The 20,949-nt window shown below is 37.5% G+C and overlaps 1 protein-coding gene and 1 long non-coding RNA gene across 16 annotated transcripts in view; one reads left to right on the plus strand and one right to left on the minus strand.

Annotated features, from left to right (window-relative positions):
• TENM1 (teneurin transmembrane protein 1) overlaps window positions 2,079-20,949 on the minus strand; it is an 828,410-nt gene continuing 809,539 nt past the window's right edge. For all 15 annotated transcript variants that reach the window (XM_017029210.3, XM_017029211.3, XM_047441760.1 and 12 more), the window contains 5 exons: window positions 18,228-18,524; window positions 11,853-12,240; window positions 9,810-11,030; window positions 8,846-8,988; window positions 2,079-7,470 (listed from right to left, as the gene is read on the minus strand). In XM_017029210.3, coding sequence (XP_016884699.1) covers window positions 6,712-7,470; window positions 8,846-8,988; window positions 9,810-11,030; window positions 11,853-12,240; window positions 18,228-18,524 — 2,808 coding nt within the window. In that variant the 3' untranslated portion in view covers window positions 2,079-6,711. The remainder of the gene's footprint in view (window positions 7,471-8,845; window positions 8,989-9,809; window positions 11,031-11,852; window positions 12,241-18,227; window positions 18,525-20,949) is intronic.
• LOC105373331 (uncharacterized) lies at window positions 7,083-16,006 on the plus strand. The gene is made up of 2 exons (XR_938576.1): window positions 7,083-7,170; window positions 13,965-16,006. It is a non-coding gene; the product is annotated as an uncharacterized LOC105373331 (long non-coding RNA).

Raw genomic sequence — 20,949 nt, forward strand, 5'->3', positions numbered from 1 at the left:
AATGTGAGAAACAGCTTTAAACTCTGTTAATAATGTTTCAACATCAGCTTATGTTTTATTTGATTCACTTCGTTAAGCTTAGAATCCAAAGTCTACTACTAGTAAAACCCAGATTTGCCCTTGAGCATTTCAAGGTTATAGGATGCCTGGTCTTCCTGTTAGGATGCTATACATTCAACTTTGACACCTATGTTTTCTCTTGCAGTAAATGGGATACCACTATTTTGTAGTTTGCAACTAGGGGGGAAGTTAAACTACCCAGTTTGGACATTTTCCTAATTTGGGGTGATTGGCCAAACTTGTAGTAAAAGGCTGAATTCTTATCATTAGGTCATTTAGTTCTTAAATGAAGATTTTTTTTTTAATGTAGCAAGATATAATAAGGCTGACTAACTGGATAGAGTCCATTAACATATATGGAATTGAGATATATATATACATCTTGGTTGCACACATACACGCAGAAATAGAACTGTTTTCTCACAAGATGACAAAAGGCTATACTACGTATCACATTCAGTATTGGACAGAGAGAGTAAAAGCAGGAATGCATAAGAACTGATTTTTTTTTCTTTTTCTTTTTTTAGTCACCTGGTGGGCCATTTAAACATTTTATTTATTTATTTTTTAATTTTTATTTTACTTTAAGTTCTGGGATGCATGCGCTGAATGTGCAGATTTGTTACATAGGTTACATGTGCCATGGTGGTTTGCTGCACCATCAACCCGTCATCTAAGTTTTAAGCTCTGCACGCATTAGGTATTTGTCCCAATGCTCTCCCTCCCCTTGCCGCCCACCGCCTGACAGGCCCCAGTGTGTGATGTTCCCCTCCCTGTGTCTATGTGTTCTCATTGTTCAACTCCCACTGTTTTTCATCTTTGTCACTGATTATCCACGTGACCTTAGGTAAGTCAGTCTGTTACTGTTACTGCATTTGCCAAGTAGGAATAATTAAGTCGTACTAACCTCACAAGATTATTAAGGTACAATAATTTACATATATGTGTGTGCGTAATTACATATATGTATAACTTTAAGGTAGTAATATTACTGAATGTTTAAATAACATTGACTGATAGTCACAGATCTCTAAAAGGGAGGGTGAATAGGGAAGGAATATACAAACGTCTCCTATTATAATTCTCTCTCTATAGGAGCTCCTGCCCTTTTAAAAAATACCCTGAGTGTGAGGTGGGATGCATATTTTGAAAAAAATTTCCAGATGATTGATACTAACAACCCCCTACCCCCATTGTTTTTTACTGATGGGTTGTGTTGAGATGATCAAGGTTGTCTTCTGCTCCATGAGTCTTTTCACTCTCTCTCTCTCTCTCTCTCTCTCTCTCTCTCTCTATATATATATATATATATATATATACACACACACACACACACAGACACACACACACACACACACACACATAAAAAAGCAGCAGGGCATTTTGAAGTGGTGTAAATTGCAGGATTCCAAGTTTCAGTAATGGGTTGTTTGGACTACATGTGCTCCGCGAGTATCAAGATGAATTTTTGAAGATCTGTTGGCCAGATTTCCCAGCGTCACTTGTAAATGTCTTCTTGTGAAAAACAAGTGCCAAATGGCAATTGTAATTGCATAGGATTTTTTTAGTGTTTCATGATTGCCTCCCCTCCCTGACACCCTTCCCCACTGGCTGCTGCCCCAACATCCATTATTTTTTGCCAGTGCATTTGGACACCCTGAACTCCTATATATCTCTCCCACCCCGTTTTTATAATTTTTTATTTTCTTTCTATTGCTGAGAAAGGCACCAAAAGGAGAGGGAAGCCTTTTTAAAGGAAGTCACAGCCTAGAGGCATTTAAATTTGCAGCAGCTACTCTTCTTTGTTTATTAAATGGTCACTTGTGTCAGAGATCCTATTTGTATGAAAAATAAAAATGAAGAGCTGTCTGCCTAGGATTAGTGACTTTTTGATTTCTGTACCTGCATTTTCAAGATGGTGTGGTTTTATTGTTCCCTGTTAGTGAGCCACTTGTCCTATCTAAGGTGACCAGACTGATTTGAGAATGCAGTTTGGCGCATAAATAAAATGGGACACATTTTTCATTGGCAATTTTATTTTTTAAAAATGAAATATTCAAAGTACTTTTCTTTCAAATATCAACACATAATGTTTAACTTTAAATATTTACAGCATGTTGTTGTGATGCTCTTGTAGAAAAATGCATGCTTCTGGCCTGAAAGCCAGAGCAAAATGCAAAAGACCATTTAACTGCAGCCAGAGAACATGAACCTGTACAGTATCCAGTCACTTTTCAGCACAGGAGAGCAGGAATACAAAATTGGAACCTATTGTTTCCTAGCAACATGGCTCAGACCATTATAACACAATTTTCAATATGATTAGAACCTCTACCTGTTGTTATACAGAAACTGAAAACTTGGCATACACTGTAAACATCTTTACTTTTCATGAGAAAGTAAGCAGCTAAAAAGAATGTTTTTCTGACATAAAGGCTATACTTCTCTTTTTCGCCTTCTTTCTTACTGATGCTTTTGCCAGAAGAATAGTAAAGATTTAGACGTTGTCATGATTCATACAAGTAAAATATTTTTCAAGGACACAATCTGATATACTAACATTTATTTAAGAGGTTAAAGTCCACCACTAAATCTAAGGAAAGATTTTTAACTGCCAAACACATTTCCTTTGACAAATAATGTAAGATGACAACTGCCAAGACAAAATCCACAGCAAGTTTAACTCTAAGTATTTTCAGTTACTGTTTAGAAAGTAATTTCTTCTTATGAACAGTAGTATATTTGGTCCTTAATAGCTTTCACATGAAGGACACACTGAAAATAATAGTCACTATTTATGGTTGAATTCTTTTTTGTTGTTTGTTTTCTGTATTTTTAAATTTTACTTTGCTTTTTTTTGTTTTTTTGTTTTTTGCGCTTTTTTTGTTTTTTTTGTTTTGTTTTGTTTTGTTTTGTTTTCTTTGCAGAAGAAAGAACCTTTATAGAAGGCTGTGGAAGAGCTGAAGTACTAGTCAGGTCAGCTATGTGTATGTGAATTTCTTCAAGAAAACAGGAATGTTCCATTCCATCTGTAGCCTTATGTCTTTCCACAAGCTATATATAATATGCTCCAATGTCTCCAAAATTTTCTTTTCAATACTTCGTTACTGTACTTTTGCTTCTATTACCAATGAACTCCATTACAATCACCCTTACATGAACACATCTTCATAAATGCAAAAACTTTGCCCTGACTCTCTTAAGTGATATTATAGTGGGGCCTGGTCTAGTTAAAAATATATTTTTAAAGAAAAAAAAAAGAAAAAGAGTCAAAATAACATGATGGAATGCTTGAAACTGTGTCAACAGTGATGAAAATGTCTCATGAAAATTATAACTTAATTTCATACCTGTCTACATAGGTAGCATGTGAATTCCAAATTATACATTGTCAAGTTTTCATACATTTGGCTATGTTGTATATATTATATATATGTAGTCTATATATTATAGATCTTCTAGATAAATTGACAGTAAAGGACACACTTATTTTATACATTTTTTGGGTTAAAAATAAATCATATACTTATTTATATGGTAAAAGTGTTTTGTTGCAAGTTAGTATGAATTGAGATTTATTTCCCTTTCCTTCAGGAGTCATGCTTCTAATCAATAACGATTAGAATGACAACTAAAAGTAAACATATTTAAATGTGTTAAACTTTGAACTTTTCAGTTCATTTGGATCTCTAGACTGTAGTGCAAGAGTGAAAACAAAACAAAACAGAAAAGCACAAACAAAATGGGCTTAAGTAGGAAAAAGAAACAACCATGGAGTATTCCCTGCCTCCAGCCCAGAATGTTCTTCATAGGAGAGTCCAACTACTATGCTCTCACTTTAACTTACTCGAATGGTGTGTGGCTGTGCAGTGTCAGCCATCTGTCTGCTGGGTATGAGAAATTCATATGTTTCTCTGAAAAATGCTTTTACTTTCATCAGGAAATGCAAACGAATTGTTCTTTCAATAATTTAAACTGCAGAACTGCAAGTCAATGAAGGCATTCTTTCTATTCAGCTGAATAGGAAGTGATATACTCAATATCTCCATCTTCTTCTTAAGAAATGCCAAAATGTTTCTCTTCGATTTACTACTGATTAGTAGTTTTGTTTTTTTTTTCTTTCCTCCCTCAAGCTTTAGGAGTTGTAAAAAGAATAATAATAGTTCAAGGCAGTATTAAAACCACAGCTGTAAGTAATAAAAAGTGCATTTCCTGAATATAATACAAATGTAACTTTAACAAACTAAAGGCACGAACCAACCAAATACGTATTACAAACTAGAAATGCACAGTTCAAGGTAATCACTATTAAGTAAAAGCTTCAAATATTTGTTTCTAATGGATATTTAAAGCAGTTTGAAAATGATACATCATCAATGAATTGCAAAAACGTATAATTGCTTAAAATATAAGCAAAATAGACTCTAATATTGACATTTTGGATTTGTGATAAAATACATAATCACATTTATGAATGCACTCTCTATATACAGTTCACAAATTATTTTTCCATTAATTTAAAAGAACATCAGAGGTTCTAGGAACTTAAGGTCCATTTTTAGGTTGGTGTGGAGGTATTCAAATTTTCAACAAGTTTGTTAGTAATTTTAGAATTCCATTCTGAATAAATACTGTACCATTAATACAGGCCTGATTCAGAAAAAACCCAATAATATGATTTTAGTATGGATTAGCAATATATCAAGCTGGTGTGTTTCCAGTTATAAAGAGAGATGAGTTCCTCATGAATTCTGTCTCTCAGAATACATGTGTAAGTGGTATTCTAACCCGAAGGTTTTGAAAATGAAATGTTTGAATACACCCTTCCCTACTGTTTGCCAGGGTCATTTCCTTTCCCTTGCTTTCCTTTGTGTAGTAGGAGGCAGACTCTTGAAAAACCTTAACATGAGCTTATGACTTTGCATATTTTCAAAGAAACTGTCATCGCAAAGCAAGGCAATGACCCCACACTGCATTTAGGTAGCATCTGGAAAGAATCCAAACTAACATTCCATCATAAATTTGCCTTCAGACATAGCAAATGTTCAGATTCGGTGATGAAAGTGCAGAAGCTGGCTCAGGGGAATTTTCTACGGGCCACATTGTGCTGTCATGTATTTTCATTTGTGGTAACTTACAATTACACAGCATTTTACAAACTATCTCTTTGTCACTGGGCACAAATCTTCCAGCTCACCAAGGGGCTTGTTTTACTGCAGGATTCCTAGAGATTGAGAAACTGCAGCTGATATTAACACTAATCCTGACCTTTCTCCAAATTTTAAATGATCGCAGAACAAATAACCCGTCCTGGAAAATAGTTATTTTCCTAGGCAGTAGAGACGATTAAATAAAGATAAATGGGTAAGTACGGAGAACGAAAATAACTAACTGTATAAATTATTTTAGTAAAAATGAGTCTGCCTCTCTATAGTTAGTTGAAATGTTTTCGGTTGGAAAGGATTTACTTGATTCGATTTCCTGAAGATGGCTGGGAGATGTTCAATACAGAATTGTACATTTGAAAGATAAATCTAAGTGGGCTGAAACAATGTGGCAGCAACTGCTGTGATGTTTGGTCTGGTCTTCCCTTTAGTACTTTCACTTAAGTACCAGGTCTATTTTTTTAAGGTTTTGGCTCTTATGAATTTCTGCAGTAGTAGTTAATGTATGTATCGGCATCCCAGACACGTATGCCTGCTAAAGCCTTTGTTTGTTTTTGTACCAGAATCATACTTTTAAGTAAATTACCGTTCATGTGCACAAAACCATTGGGTCAGTGTATAGATACTGAATCACTAATGTGAAACTATGACCAAAACACATCCTATATATAAATGAGAAATTCCTACCCAGGTTAATAAAAGCTATGTTTACATGATACCAATACAGCTGAACAACTTTTAGTAAAAAATTGAGTCAAAACAGGTCGTGTGAGAGAGGTCACGCTGGCCAGCTGCTTTGGTATCATGTACACACGAGCAAATAGCGGCTATACAGTCTGGTTACCACACCCACAGGGAAGCATGGTAGACAGAACCCAGCCACCACACGCCAAAACACAGCACAACAATATGGCATTTACTTTAACAAGCAAGGAGGAATAATCAAGAAGGAAGGGCAATTGGGTCCTCACTCTAGGAGATGGTGGCTGAAGACATTTTACACCTGTTTTTAAGTTTCCTATAACAGATCTGGAAAACGTCAAAGGGCTGGCAGTCTTTCGAAAGGCAAGTTTCAGATACTATTGCACCACCTATTCAAATAGCCCGTAAGTTCTGCCAACAGTTAAGGATGAAACTGCTTCTCACAATAGAGATAGAGAACCTTGGGTTCTTTCTGGATATTGGAACATATGCATGGCTCGGCAAATTGAAAGTGGTGCTTTCTGAAAACTGTTTTTAGCTGTTTGAGTTCTACTTGTGTTATTTTGAATACTGCCACACAAGAACTAAAAATCTCTGTCATTTCTTAAAGAGTTTAAACAAACAATATTAAAATACCATCTTCCGTCACATTGAAAGGCAGTTGGATATGTTTTTCCTCCATATTTACATATACAGAGTTCTGATCTAGAAAACCAATACAATAAACCATTTTATGTTTTAAAAACAGGCAGTCTTTGGTGACGCAAAGGCAGAGATATTTTTGTTACCTCCTGCCTATTTCGCTCTGTCTCATAAAGTGAATATTATTGGCACTGTCAGAAAGTTCTAAATACTGCTCAACAGACAAAACAAAATACCCATCGTAACCTTGTACCCGCCCAGTGCTCAAAAGCTGCTGCTTTTCCCCTTCTGTCCATGCCCTAATCCCCTCTTCCCCCTCTTGCAGCCTTCTTTGTTCCTTAGTCCAGGCCTGGGCCACTGCGCGCTGTCTGGCAATCTCCAACACGTGATTCTTTTCCTCTTCGACAGTTGTCCCATACCGGATGTTGAAGCACAGGGCTCCATGCTGGAGCTGAATATCTGCAAACCGTCTAGTCCTCCCATTCAACACAGAAGTCATCTGGGACACAGTGACATTGACACCATTCTCCAGAATCCGCCTCCCCCCAGTGTTACCGATGAGCACCAGGTCTTCCTCCAGAGACCCAAGCTTAATGAAGTAGTGAGTGTCCCTCCCCTCTATGGTAAAATGTAGGTTTTCCAGGTAATGGGCATTATTGAGAATGGCAGCAAGCCGCCTGCTATCTTCATTGGCTACTCCTATAATATCAGCTGTTACTATGCCATCCTTGATGGCAAATTTTATACCTTTCCCAAAAACAGAAGGGACAGCAGCAAACCTTGGTTGCTTCCCTCCTTCAAGGCACCGTCCATCATTGTATCGGGGAGTCATAGGTAGTTGGTCCAAGGAAATGAAATTCCTGAGCTGTTTCTGGAGTTCACACTGAATGCCCAGGATAGTCTAGGAAAGAGAGGCACAGAGCAGATGCAGCATGGAGTTAGACATCTGTCAGATACTTGGTGATTGTGGAAAGGACAGGCTTGCAAGTTTGCTTCCTTCTCTCTTTAATTTGTCAGTGAGTGATTTAAAAATAAGCCAGATTTGGAATCTCTTCATCAGAGATTTGGAAAAGACTAACAGGTGACTACCTAGCATTCTTATATCTTGGTGGAGTTAAGCATAAGGAAATACATTTAAACTTGAAATCACAGAATTGCAGAGCTGGAAGGCACTTTAAGTTGGTCCAGCTCTCCCAAAACACAGACATTTTATTTTCACTGATTTCACTCACACTGACTAGATGTTATTACTACATGTAGAGTAATACTTAGGCACAGTGAGGCACAAAGAAATGCATAAGGCATAGTTCCTACTTTAAAGAGTTTAAGACCTTATAATTAACTATGGCAAATCAGCCAGAAATTCATTGATCTTTTTATGTGGACTTAAAAAAAACCTTTTTTTTTGGGCAATTTTCAAACATACTAAGAAATAAAGAGAAAAGACTAATGAACCTCCAAGTATCCATTATGAAGCTTCAGCAATTTTCAACATTTTGCTAAATGTTTTTTAGAAGGACTTTTAATTACAGAAAGCATTTACATCTTTACAAAAAGGGATGAATTTATAGGACCTATCTAGAACTTCCTGTCCCTTATAATTTTTTAGACTTAAATTTCAAGGCCTCACACCCAAATTTCAGTTTTATTCTATCAAGCCCATTTTGTTTTCGCAAACACAGATATTCATATTTCTTTCAGTTGAAAGAAAAAGCTCCTTATTTTCATTTGTACCTCATACTTCTGGTGATATCATCTGCTGAATCTTAAATGTTTTGATGTTCCTATTTTTTCTCAAAACTGTACCCTTGTAATATTTATTATTTTTGCTTCATTGTGTTTATGTATTTTTTCTTTATCAGAATAATTTTATTCTGTTATTCCCATGCTCTTAAGACATCAACCCCTAAATTATTTTACAGTTGGAAATCTGATGTTTTCGTGTCTCTTACCGAACAATTTTCTCTAGGTAGAATCCATAATTGCTCTTGGTAGCCCATTTCAGAATTTTTAAAGTACAGTTCCTCTTTCCTCTTATGTACCTATTGCAGCAGTCATCAAGTAACCTGTTAATCTTTTTTTTCCCCCAAAACTCCAATTCTCTGATCTTTTTTCTCATGGAGCTTTTTTTATACCTTCTCATTAATTGTGCACGTTTTAGTGAATATTCAAGAAGACTAAAAAATCAGTAAGCAAACATATGTATATATAATTTCTGGGTATTGAATGCCCTTCTGTTGTTTCAGCTAAAAGGAGGTGATAAAACTTTTACTAACCTTTCCAGGATCCCACTCTTGAGTTTTTGTCTGAAGCCGTAGAAGCTCGTAAGTTAATTCTAAATTTTCTAATTCAGGTTTGGGAAATCCAGGTAGTACATTGTGTAATTGGAAACCAAATAGCTCCAACCAACTTCTGATGTCTGTGAGACACAATATTAAAAAAAGAAAATGAAAAATCCCATACTTTATAAGCTTTGTTGAAAACTTGAAAGATACCTCTCCTGCCTTCAAACTGTTTAGGCAATAGAAGTTAGGAATAAAACTCCTATTTATTTATTTATTTATTTATTTATTTATTTATTTGACATAGTCTCACTCTGTTGCCCAGGCTGGAGTACAGTGGTGCAATCTTGGCTCACTGCAACCTCCACCTCTTGGGTTCAAGCGATTCTCCTGCCTCAGCCTCCTTCCTGAGTAGCTGGGATTATAGGCATGTGCTAATTTTTGTATTTTTAGTAGAGATGGGGTTTCACCATGTTGGCCAGGCTGGTCTCAAACTCCTGGCCTCAAGTGATCTGCCTGCCTCAGCCTCCCAATGCTGGGATTACAGGTGTGAGCCACCGCACCCAGCCTAAAACTCCCCTTTATATGGCCCACACTAAAACACCTGATCCTCTCTCTACAGGGTAGAGTGTTGATTTGTGGATAACCCTGGATTATAATATCAGCTTATATGATGAAACAAGAATCCTGAATTTTTCTTTTACGAAATTATTCATATAAGCTTGTAAGAGTAAAACACAGAAACAGCTAAAAAATGTAGTAGGATGCAAAAGTATTATATGTTAACATGCACGTTTTGCTCACTCTAGAAAACTAAGGAAGACAGCAAATGCACAATAACTTGCGGGCTAACTGTCAGGAAGAGGAAGCATATTTACAAAGGCATTGAGATTCTGTGATAAAATCAACAGTACTGAGTTACTCAAGTTTAGCTTAAAGTTTTAAATAGTTTAAATACCTGTGGTATACTTTGCAACATCTTGAATTTTGCCAACTGGGTAGTTATTTTCAAAGGAGTAGAGGTTGAATGGTTTAGGAAGGAGGTTCAACTGTTTCCATATGTGATGATTAGGCGTTGTCCATCTGCCAGCAACAACATCATAATCCCTTTGCCCCAGGTGCACTAATTTAGTAAGGAAATCATAGAGTCCTCCATGAAAACCAATAATGACCTGAAAGTCAGGGTAAGTGTCATGATAGATATCGCCATAAGGTGTGTATAGTATCTCCTTTATGACCTGACCTCGGCTGCTGAACACAGCTAGTGGGGTACCTGTATTATCACAGGCTACATAATATTCTTCACCACTGCTTAACTCCATGGCAATAAGGTGACCTTGGAGATCATAATACAGAGATGTAATCTCCGAGCTTGTGTGGTTGTACAAATGAGTAACTCTTATGGGGTTGGTAAGGTCTGCATAAAAGAACTGAAGGTGCTGCCCTAGGCTGGACTTACTCGCGACACGTCGCCCAAGCCCATCATAGTAATACTGCACAGTCCAGCCAGAAGCCTTATTGTAGGCTTTCTGCAGCAGGCCATTAGAATTATATTCAAAAATATCATTTCCCCTCTGCCTCAGAAAGCCATCTTCATCCATTTTATACTGAATTTCTCCTAATCTGGTGATGCGGTCTCGGAGGTCATATCGGAGAGGAGTAAGACGAGCACTCTTCCCATGGCTTAAGAGGTTGATGTTTCCATTCAGATCGTAACTATAACGCCACTGGGTTTTGTCATTTACAGAAACAGTCTGAAGTTGCCCATCAGCATCGTATTCATAGAAGTACCTTGTTATATTGGCATCTACTCCTACCCTTATGTCACATATTACCATGCGGCCCACATTATCATATTGAATGGTCATCCAGTAGGCAATTGCCTTTAGGATTTCATATTGGACTTCAATGACTTGTCCATTGGCACTGAAGATTTTGGTGTGTTTCATCACTGTAGTAGTTATGACCTGATTTAAATCGTAATTAATTACACTGAATTTTCCAAACTGCTCTGTTCTGCCAGAGACATCAACATATCGGTAAAGATCTATAGGCAAAGGGGTTTCATTGATTACAGCTTGCATGCTTGTGACTCGGAAATTGTTGTAGCTGTAGTCGAACCGTGCATTCACAAGGCCTTCTTCACTGAATCTGAAAATCTGGCGTCCAATAAGAGGTCCTGCAGGAACCAAAACAAAAACAGTAAGAAGCTAGGCGATCAATGTGGAAGAGTCAGAAAGGTCTAGTGTTATTTTATTTAGTACTGGTGCTTTTATATTCATAATACAATATTAGAGACTGATCTCTGATATCAAATGCCTGGGCATATTACCTCATGGATATATATTCTCATAGTGGTAATCCTCAAATATAAAAAATTAAAATACTCTATAGTTATAGAAAATTTTAATTATAGAAACTACAGAAGTAATAACACATCCAGTAGCCCAGGGTGATGAAATTGATACTTCTTGCTATAATCACTGACAAAAATGCTTTCATTTCATTTAACCTTTGCTACAAAGTCAGAGGGTCAGGTTTTGACAAATTCCAGCATTAAAGTAACTGGATTTGGGCATTCTATAAACCCAAAGGGTGAAATACATTAGAAAGTTCTGACTTGTGAAGATATTTTGTCATCAACTGAGGCTTATAAAGGTTACACAGGGCTTGAGCTAGTTTCAGTGAGACTTATATCTTGCCGTTTCATCTTTGAGAAGATTTGGTGCTGAGCAGGAATGGGTATACAGTTACACTAGGCACTTGGATTTCAAATTACTTGAGAGCTGAAAGAAAGAAATGCACTATATGTTTTTAAGAAATCAGCTTTCATCAGACTATAACATGCTTTACATTTTCAATGTCAGATAATTTGATAAGTAAAGTGAAAGTTGGGTTGAATGTGTGTAGATTAATGCTTCTATCTCACACTGTGGTCAGTAAAAATGTCATAAGAAAATAGTGATGTTGTTGTACACACCACCACTCTTTCACAACAAACCTGTTTGCCTGTATCTGATTGTGCAGATGAATCCGTCATGCATCAGGTGTATTGTCTTAATCACTCCAGAAGACTCTTCATATGTTAATGTGACCTGAGTGGTATCATAGAGAACCTCAGAAAGCCTTGCTTGCTTGGTGTACTTGTATAAGACTCTGCGCCCTGTCCCCAGATGCAGGGTCTGTAGCAATCGGCCATCTCGACTATAGTCTTGGATAAAAGAAGTGCTACTGTCCGGTGGGGTGTAGATGTTCCGGTAGTAGCCCACTGAAAGCATGGTTTGTAAGCTGTGACGCACCATGCTAGGCATGGTGACTGAGAGCAGACAATCTGGTTGGTCATACTCAAAGATGTAACGCCGCTGGCTGTGTAGGAGAAGCATCACAGACTGAAACGAGACAAAGGCAGAATAGCATATTATGGACAACTAAAGTTGAGGCGACTAAAGAAAATACACATTCATCCATTCAACACAAATCAATCAAGCACTTACTGTGTGCCAGACACTGTGGCAAACCCTAGTGGATACAGTAGTGCACAATAGTGGTGTCTATCTTCATGAAATTTACAGTTTTAATGGAGGAGAAAGACAAGTAACCAAGCAATTACAATATAGTGTGAAATGTGTTATGACAGGGGAGTTACAGAGTGCTTCTGGAAGGCAGAGGAAGACCAGCTTACTCAGACTTGAGAGACCAGAAAAGGCTTCTTGGATAAAGTGGCATCTGAGTTGAGACATAAAGATTGCCTAGGGATTGTCCAGGTGAAGGCAGGGAGCCGGGGGCAGGGGTAGGGAAAGAGTATTCTTGGCAGAGAGCACAGCCTTGTGAGGGTCTGGATATGAAAAAGAACACGGCTTTTTCAGAGAATGAGAGAAATTTTGTGTGGCTAGAACTTGAGTATGTTGGGAGTGGTGGGAATGGCAGGAGATGACGTCAGCTATGTAGGCTGAGTCCAGATCATGCTAGGCTTTCTAAGCCACACTAAGGAGTTTGGATTCAAGTATGTTGGCAACAGGGAGTCATCGAAGGGTTTCTATTTTATTTCATTTTTTTAGAGCCAGGGTCTCACGGTGTTGCCCAGGCTGGAGTGCAGTGGTGTAGTCATAGCTCACTGCAGCCTCGAACTCCTGAGCTTAGGCTATCCTCCTGTCTCAGCCTCCTGAGTAACTGGGACTACCAATGTGTGCCACTGCATCTGGCACTCTTGAAGGGTTTTAAGCAAGTTAAGGGACGGTTGCAAGAGGGCACTTGCAAGCTGGGAGAAACTGTCAAGTTGGTATTTTAGAAAGGTTACTTCAACGTGCATATGTTTCAGAGGAAGGTAAATGGATGGCAGGGCATTTCACAAATTAATTTATAGTTATCATAAAGTATTGATTGACTTCACATACTAGATGTCTTCCTAAAAATTGTGCATAAAATATTATTATGGCACTATTAATGTTTTGCAATTGATGTTTTAACTTCACATTTCCATTTGTGTTTTAATATTAGGGAAGCATGTCATTAAAACTGAATGATTCTCTGGTTATGCAGCCCCTCTCCCCCAAACTGATCTGTATTTTAGAAACAGTTGTTTGTTGAGGTATAATGCAGGTAACAGGTGTTTCATAAATATTGATTGTCTTGTTTTAATTCTAAATGCAGACATAAAAGGAGCACTGTTTTAGGGAGGACTCTAATTGACTGACATGTGCATCTCATCTTTTAATAAAAATAAAAATTTCTCATCCTTGGAGATTCTGATATGACTCCCTAGAGGAGCTTTATCCTTCCCCTTTAGAAAATTACCTTTTCAAGCAAAGAGATTTAGTTGAGGGTTATTTATTCAAGTTTGTGTTATGAAAACAATAGGTATATTTTCATTTTCTAAGCACAAATTATATAAATATTTATGAATGTGAATTACACAAGTATATGTAATGTACATTTATATCTTCTAAATATGACATTACATTCTAATATTGAATGTGCTTTCTGAAACTGCATATCCTCCCTACCCTTCTGAGAATTATTGACTTTGAATTGCATTTCAGTACCATGAAGTCAAAGTCAGTGGTTATTTGCTCATTTGTTCATTCTTTCTTTTCCACCAACATTACGCCTGCAGAGCCAGAGGTGAGTGCAGAAATCCTGTCAATTCGTCACTTGTGGACAACCTGCAGCTTGCCACAGCCTACAGTTCCACCACTGTGACCTCTGAAAACCTCCTGAACAAAAGGAAGGAGACTTGGAAATCCTGAATGGGCTTGGAGACATTAAGGGAGAACTGCCTCCCTGGACCAAGGCAGAATTCAATAGAACCAGCAAGAAATTTTCCTATGAATGGGAAAGCAGGTGGCAGGGGGCAGGGGTGGAAAAGCTTTGTACAGGAATTGTGGAAAAGCTTTTGCATTATCTCTAGTCTGAAAGTCACATTTCTCAGTTCCTTTCCACTCTCTTCTGTCAACTTGCTGTGAGTAAATGACATCTGTCACCTGTGACACGGGCCAGGGACTATCACCATATGGCCCCCACACATTATCTAGTACCAGCCTGCCTGGGCCATGCCTTTTCCAGTCACTGTACCAGCCTTTCCAAGTATTTATGGCACGTCGTTGTTATTCTCTCCTCTGTTCCCATCCTCCTGCCTGCAGTAAACCACTGCCTGAACCGTGTTCCTAGGTGGTGCTGATGCTGGGCTGTCTCAAAAGCCCTTAGTCTGTTTCAAAGCTTCCTGCCAATGGCAAGAATGTGGATGATGTGATTAGAAATCAAATGAATGTAACTGTTACATTGCCAAAATACCATTTAGCTCTCATTTGGCTGCTTTTTCACTTTGGGTGGGCATTATTATCAGTTTGCTCAAAAACAGTGCTTATGAATCTATCCAATGTCCACAATGCTGTTATAGGATAAAAGGCCATTTCTTATTAGTCCAAATAACAGAGTGGGAGACTTTTATTCTTTTAATTGATTGTGAGGTTCTAAAAGAGATAATTGTAAAAGCAACAACAACAGCAACAGCAATCATGGCTGTATGCTTATTTGAACAAGACTAGAAATGAGAGCAGAAATTTGAAAAGTTAAAGCATTTGAATGACCACCAGATGGCAGTGTGGGGCCACCTGGAAGCTGAAGCCAAAGTCGTCGTTCTGTCTCTCTAGGCAGCCTCTGAAAGTGTCAGCCCCAAAGAGGCAATTGCTGTAAATGTATAAGGCTAAAGTATCTTATTAAATGATTATAAAATATATTTAAATGCATTTTAAAAATGAAGTTCATAAGAATTATTTTAGGAAACTGAAAGGTTTACATTTACTCTAATACAAAATTTTAGCCCACAAGTCTTCAAAATATAATTAACTCAGAGAAGTCTCATAAATCAAGACAGAGAATTAATGACCACATAGAGAAAATTTAAGAAACAATAATTGATTTTTTTAATAGGGAAGAGATCATTAAGCAACCACAGCCATTACCCAAATAATTATTTTTCTCCTAATGGCTACAACCATTGTGCATGAAAATGATATGCATAAGTTTCACTTACTCTAGAAGAAGTCAAACTATTTTCACAAAATTTCTGCGTGTTAAGGTGAAAAATCTGCTGCTGCTTTTTAATACATCGTGACACAGGTATGGCAAGCGAATTCACAAGGTAATACCAGAGTATTTTGGGGTGTAAAAAGAGAAATCCATTTTAAAGTTTGAGAATTCTTAGTTTAAAATATACTACAAGAACGAGCCTCTTTATCCCTGCTCTGCCCCTGTCATAGTGGGAGAATGTGCCACAAAGGCCATATTAATGAGAGGACTGGAAAGAACACAAGGAGATACAAAACCTCAAGTCAGTGAAAAAGTTACATGTTACATGGGATTTTGGTAAATTCAATGTTCTTTCCCTTTTTCCCTCTAGAATCACAATTTCAAAGATGCTTTAATTTCCTCCCTCCCTCCCTGCCTCCCTCCCTTCCTTCCTTCTTCCCTCCCTTACTTTCTTCTGCTCTTTCTTGTTTTGATTTACCTCCAAGTGGCAGTAAGTGCTAGCTAGCATTTAAATTCTCTACTTGGGTGTTTTATATTAAGTTATTTCATTTAATTATATCTATTCAGTGAATTAGTTATGATTACTGGTAATAATAATGTTAATAAAATCAATTTTATGACAAATGACTTTTGGAAAGTAAAGAATCGTTCCATAATTATGCGTTCTGTAGGTTCTGAGTTTTGCATAACAGGACTGCTTAAATCAGTAGCTACCCTTTTAATTAGAGAACAAATTAAATATAAAATCAAGAAAGGAACAAAAGTGAACTCAAAGGTACAAATAAGCTGGTTTGTCTCACTGGTCAGAAAGTTACCAGGACTTGTCTTGATACCTTATTCTGGGTGAGGAAGGTCTTATTTTTGTCCACTGCAGACACTGGCAGTCTCACCGAGGTTTTTGTTTGTTTGCTTAGCAATTATTGCCAACTACGTTTTTGTAGCAAAGAGAACTTGTGAAGTTTGCTTCACGTGATTCTTTGCTTAAGTAAATTTGATGGAATAATCAGTGAATTCGGAAAAGAGAAACAATAAAATCTCCTCATTGGTGTCAGAGAAGAGGCTAAATAACTGCACCCAGGGATGAAATTGAAGTTTTCAATAGGCTCTTATGTTATTGTGCAGATAGTCTAAAGGGAAAGTCTTTTTTTTATTATTATACTTTAAGTTTTAGGGTACATGTGCACAATGTGCAGGTTAGTTACGTATGTATACATGTGCCATGCTGGTGCGCTGCACCCACTAACTCGTCATCTAGAGGGGAAAGTCTTATGAGACCTAGATGTGACTGTCTATAGGCAATTAGCTCAGTTGGTCGGACTCTGGTGCCAATGAGGTTGGAATTATGAGTGCAATCCTACGTATGCTTCTAAGGAGTGCTGGCTACTTAACTAGTCACATGGGGGACCTGTGGAAAGATTGGTGCAAACCTGTCTTCCTTTCTGAAAAACTAACTCAGCTAATATTCTGTTAGTGATCAGTAGCACTGTTTTTTTCATATGAAGGTCATCAATATACACCTTAAGAAATACTTTGCCTATGCACACATACCAGCAAATTTTTGGATTCAGTTAATGTTGTAACAGGCTTGGCATTCTGTAGGCACTAGTCACACGGTTTTGCCAATCATTCTTGTTACCAAAATTCAAAAGAGGAAAGACCTGCTCTATAAGATTCAGATTTTGCCAGTGTAGAGGATAGATTATAGATTTGATAAATATTTCTAGCAAAAAAGGACATGAGGTGGATTCACCAAAGGACTCCTTCCTTTTGCCCTGGCTCCCAAGTGAACTCTGCTTCATCTCCAGGCATTTCCAACTTGGTAAATTCTCCAGCAACAAACTCTGGGAACTAGTAACATGGTTTGATAATGACATATAACCACTGGCACACTATTTTTGTTTAACTTTGGGGAGGGCGTATCAGAAAAGTTGGGCATTATTTGGTACCAATAGGGAAATCTGTCATGTGAGCTATGAGCTCCTATGACTTCTCTAAGAACATCTAGAAGCTACCTTGTACTGATTACCCTTGAATTCTCAAGGGAAGCCATTTTTCAATTTTTGTAGAAATTAATTTAGGACTGATGAATTCCTAAATGTGTTGAAAGAATAGATTTGGGAAACAAGAGGCACTATCTTAGGAGATTAGACATTGAGATAGAGATCAATTACTCTTACTGTCCTCTGGTACCAATCTGGCCAGAAACCATTTTGCTCTGTAGGGGCTGATGTTTGACAAATGGTTCCTGTAGTGGGATTAAAATATTTTTCTATTATTCCCAGACACAGGCCACAAGCTCCCATTATGGATGCTACTGGAGACTCAGTGTACAGAAAAGAGTATTACCAATGAGGCCCCACTACCACCATTCCCGCAGGCTGATTACTTTTGGAAATTAGTCTTCAAATGTATACAACTAAAACTTCACTGACTATCCTAACAAAATTAGAATTGCTTATCCTCTGGGTAAAAAGCCCTTTACCAGAGCTGAGTACATTAACACAATTTTATAATTTTCTAGCTATTTTTCCCTCGGTATGAGCTTTCATAATAATAAAGATAACCTTTTCAAAAGCATGAACAAAGATGTTCAAATGAGGAGAAAGCTAAGCCGTTATTCTGACTTTAGTCTGAAAGAGTACTTGGCAGAGTCTGGGACTGGGGAAAATTTTCAGCTGAAAAACAGTTTATCCTTATAAGTTCAACATCTTTTTGTTACTTCTACAGAACAGAACAGCTGGAACACAGACTTTTCTCCTGCAGGTCCTCACCAAGATGGACAATTAGGGCCATTTTCGATAGTCTCATTCAGAAACTTGAAACTTGTCTTTTTCCCCTATGTACTTACTTTTTCTAAGTAGGTATAGCTCCAAATTTTCCCATCAGCCCAAGTTCTTGAAATAATTTTCCCACTCTGGTCATATTCCATTTTTTCATTCCACGTTCCTCTTTGAATAAACGTCACCAATCCCGAAGGTGAATATGTGATGTTCACTTCATTATATCTGCTTACAGGAGACCACAGAATGGGTCGCCCAGTCTGGTCATAAAGAATTCGAAGGGTGAATTTTCGATGGTCATCATAGATCTTTCCTGTGCGGGTTATATGATCAAAATCTATGGAGAGTAGGTTTCTGTTGTGGGCCTATGAGAAAGAGATATGAAATACATTTTAAGCACAGCCTTGTTCCCCTCATTAGAGCACTGACAATCATGAATCCTTTCCTGATTATCCAACGATAGAGTCTGTCTTGCCTCTGAAGCCTCACGGCTTCACATTCCACAGATGCCACCTGTCTTTATTCCTCTACCACATTGTACACTCTCAGAGAGCAGGGCTATGTCTTAAGTACTTGAAATACTCTAGACTCTCAATAGGTGGTTGTTGATTGCTTTTTCCCCAGCTCAAGCCTTAAGTGCAGTGCCACAGTTTTCAGTAATTATGTGATCTTATTTTATGTAAGTCAGTTGCCTACTAAGGAGTGGGTATTCCTTCACCCTTTTCACCAGTGAAGTGGCCATAACATAAAAGGGTGAATTATTTGTGTGATTAGAAATCAGACAAAAGGAATACAGTGAGCCCCCTCTAACTTATACAGATTCCCTTCTTTGGTTTCCTCATTCACCTGGGCTTGGAGTTTTATATGATTTCACACCTATTATAGGGGAACTCAGGTTGCCTTGCCCTCTAGTTATGGAATCTCACTTAGCAATACTTTCACGGAGGCCTGTAGGTAAATGAACTAAGTGTTGGTAGGTCCCCCAGCATTCACAAGGGCAGCACCACTAACTGTGGTTAAAGCACAGAGTTAAGTTTGGATTCCAAGTTTAGAAACAGTACTTTCACATGATTCTGGTTCTAGACTTTTTCTACCGTATGGTAGCATTTTCTCTGGGCACCTCAAAACCTTGTAGCAGTCCCAGAGTGATCCTGATTCAAGGGATCTTGAACTGGATTCCATGAAAGACAGTATTCAACGGTGCCTGACTGATAAAATTCATCTGGGTTCACACAAGATAACCAAATAACTAAATGACTTAGTAAAAAAAAAAAAAGTTTAAAAAATCAGCAGTGGGACAACTGACCTGATTTTTTCCACGTTTCAGCTGGTAGTGTCAGTGTTTGCTAGATCTACCAGTAACTTCTGCTATGGGTAGCTGATTACAACACAATCACTTAGAAAATGCAATCCTCAACTGTTTTTTTTTGTGTGTGTGTGTTTCAGAAAAAAAAAAGGTGTTCTTGATTTTAGTCATTAAGAGGTTCAGTCCCTGCTGGCCAGTGCACTGAAGAAGGCCCTGTGGAAGAGGGGAGCTTTGAAGAAGGCATAGGTGGAAAGTGCAGGAAGGAATTTTAAAATTTATTTTATTTTAGCTTAGCTCAGTTTAGTTAAGTTTTAGTTTTAGTGGGTTTTATGTTTTGTTGTGTTAAAACTTTTTATTTTTACATAGTCTGACTCACAAGAAGTTGCAAAAATGGTAGAGTTGCTGTGTACCCTTCACCCAGCTTTTAGGGGACAGACTTCTGATTTGGGTGGAGAGAGTCCTAGTGTATCCGGCAGGAACAAAAACAAGAATGAAAAAGGAGAGACTTTGAGGAGTCTAAGTAGCAGTGAACTGCAGTCAGGAGACATTCAAACTAGTTACTTGTCTGTGCACCAGTCATTTCTTCCATCTGCGCCTTAGTTTTCTTATCTGTGAAACAAGAGTGATGTTACCACTTTACACCACAAACTTGTGCTAAGAATTAAACGATATTCCATATACAGGTACTTGGTAAGCTGTGAAACAACACTAGTAATTGTTATTTGTATAACATAATGATTACTTTTCTCATTTTATTTAGGCTTGTGAATAGGACCACATTTCAGATTCCAAGGTGATTGTAGCTTAGTGTACTAGATTTATATCGGTAAGAGTTGTCAACATGATCCTGAATGAAATGTTAAATATCTTGTTAATGAAGGGGAGGAGTGAAACTCACATTAGGATTTGACTACATTAATCATAGTCAGATTAAACTGATTCACTAGCTACTCAACTAAACTTGATGTTAATTTTAACTTTTGTGGTCAAGGATCTGTTTAACTATCTGAAAGCTATGCAATGTATCCCAAGAAAAGTGCATATAAAATGCATATATATTAACATTTTTAATATACTCTTAGGGGGGCTTTGAACCTTTCTGAAAAACCTAAACATAAAACCTTTTCAGGTCTCAGGAATCCAAGATCAACATCCTGGTTCAGAAAGAGTTTTGATCTTAGAGGTCTGGATGGCTGCAAAGCTAATGCTCTCATACCAGACTCTGGTCTTCCTTTGTTCAGAATCTTGTGCTCTTTGCTTTAAAAAGTAACCTTTCCCTCCCACCCCCAAATATAAAAGAGATAACTTTTTCATGGCAGAAAAATTAGAAATATAGAAATGTACAAAGGATATAATTACATGTAATCCAACCATCCAATGAAAATCACTGTTAACACTTCACTGTATTTCATTTCATTTATCTTACTTTTTTGGCATAATCTCTGTGCATACATTTAAAACATACAACTAGGATTGTATTTAAA

The sequence above is a fragment of the Homo sapiens genome, chromosome X (genome assembly GCF_000001405.40).
Source record: "Homo sapiens chromosome X, GRCh38.p14 Primary Assembly".
NCBI classification, from domain to species: Eukaryota; Metazoa; Chordata; class Mammalia; order Primates; family Hominidae; genus Homo; species Homo sapiens.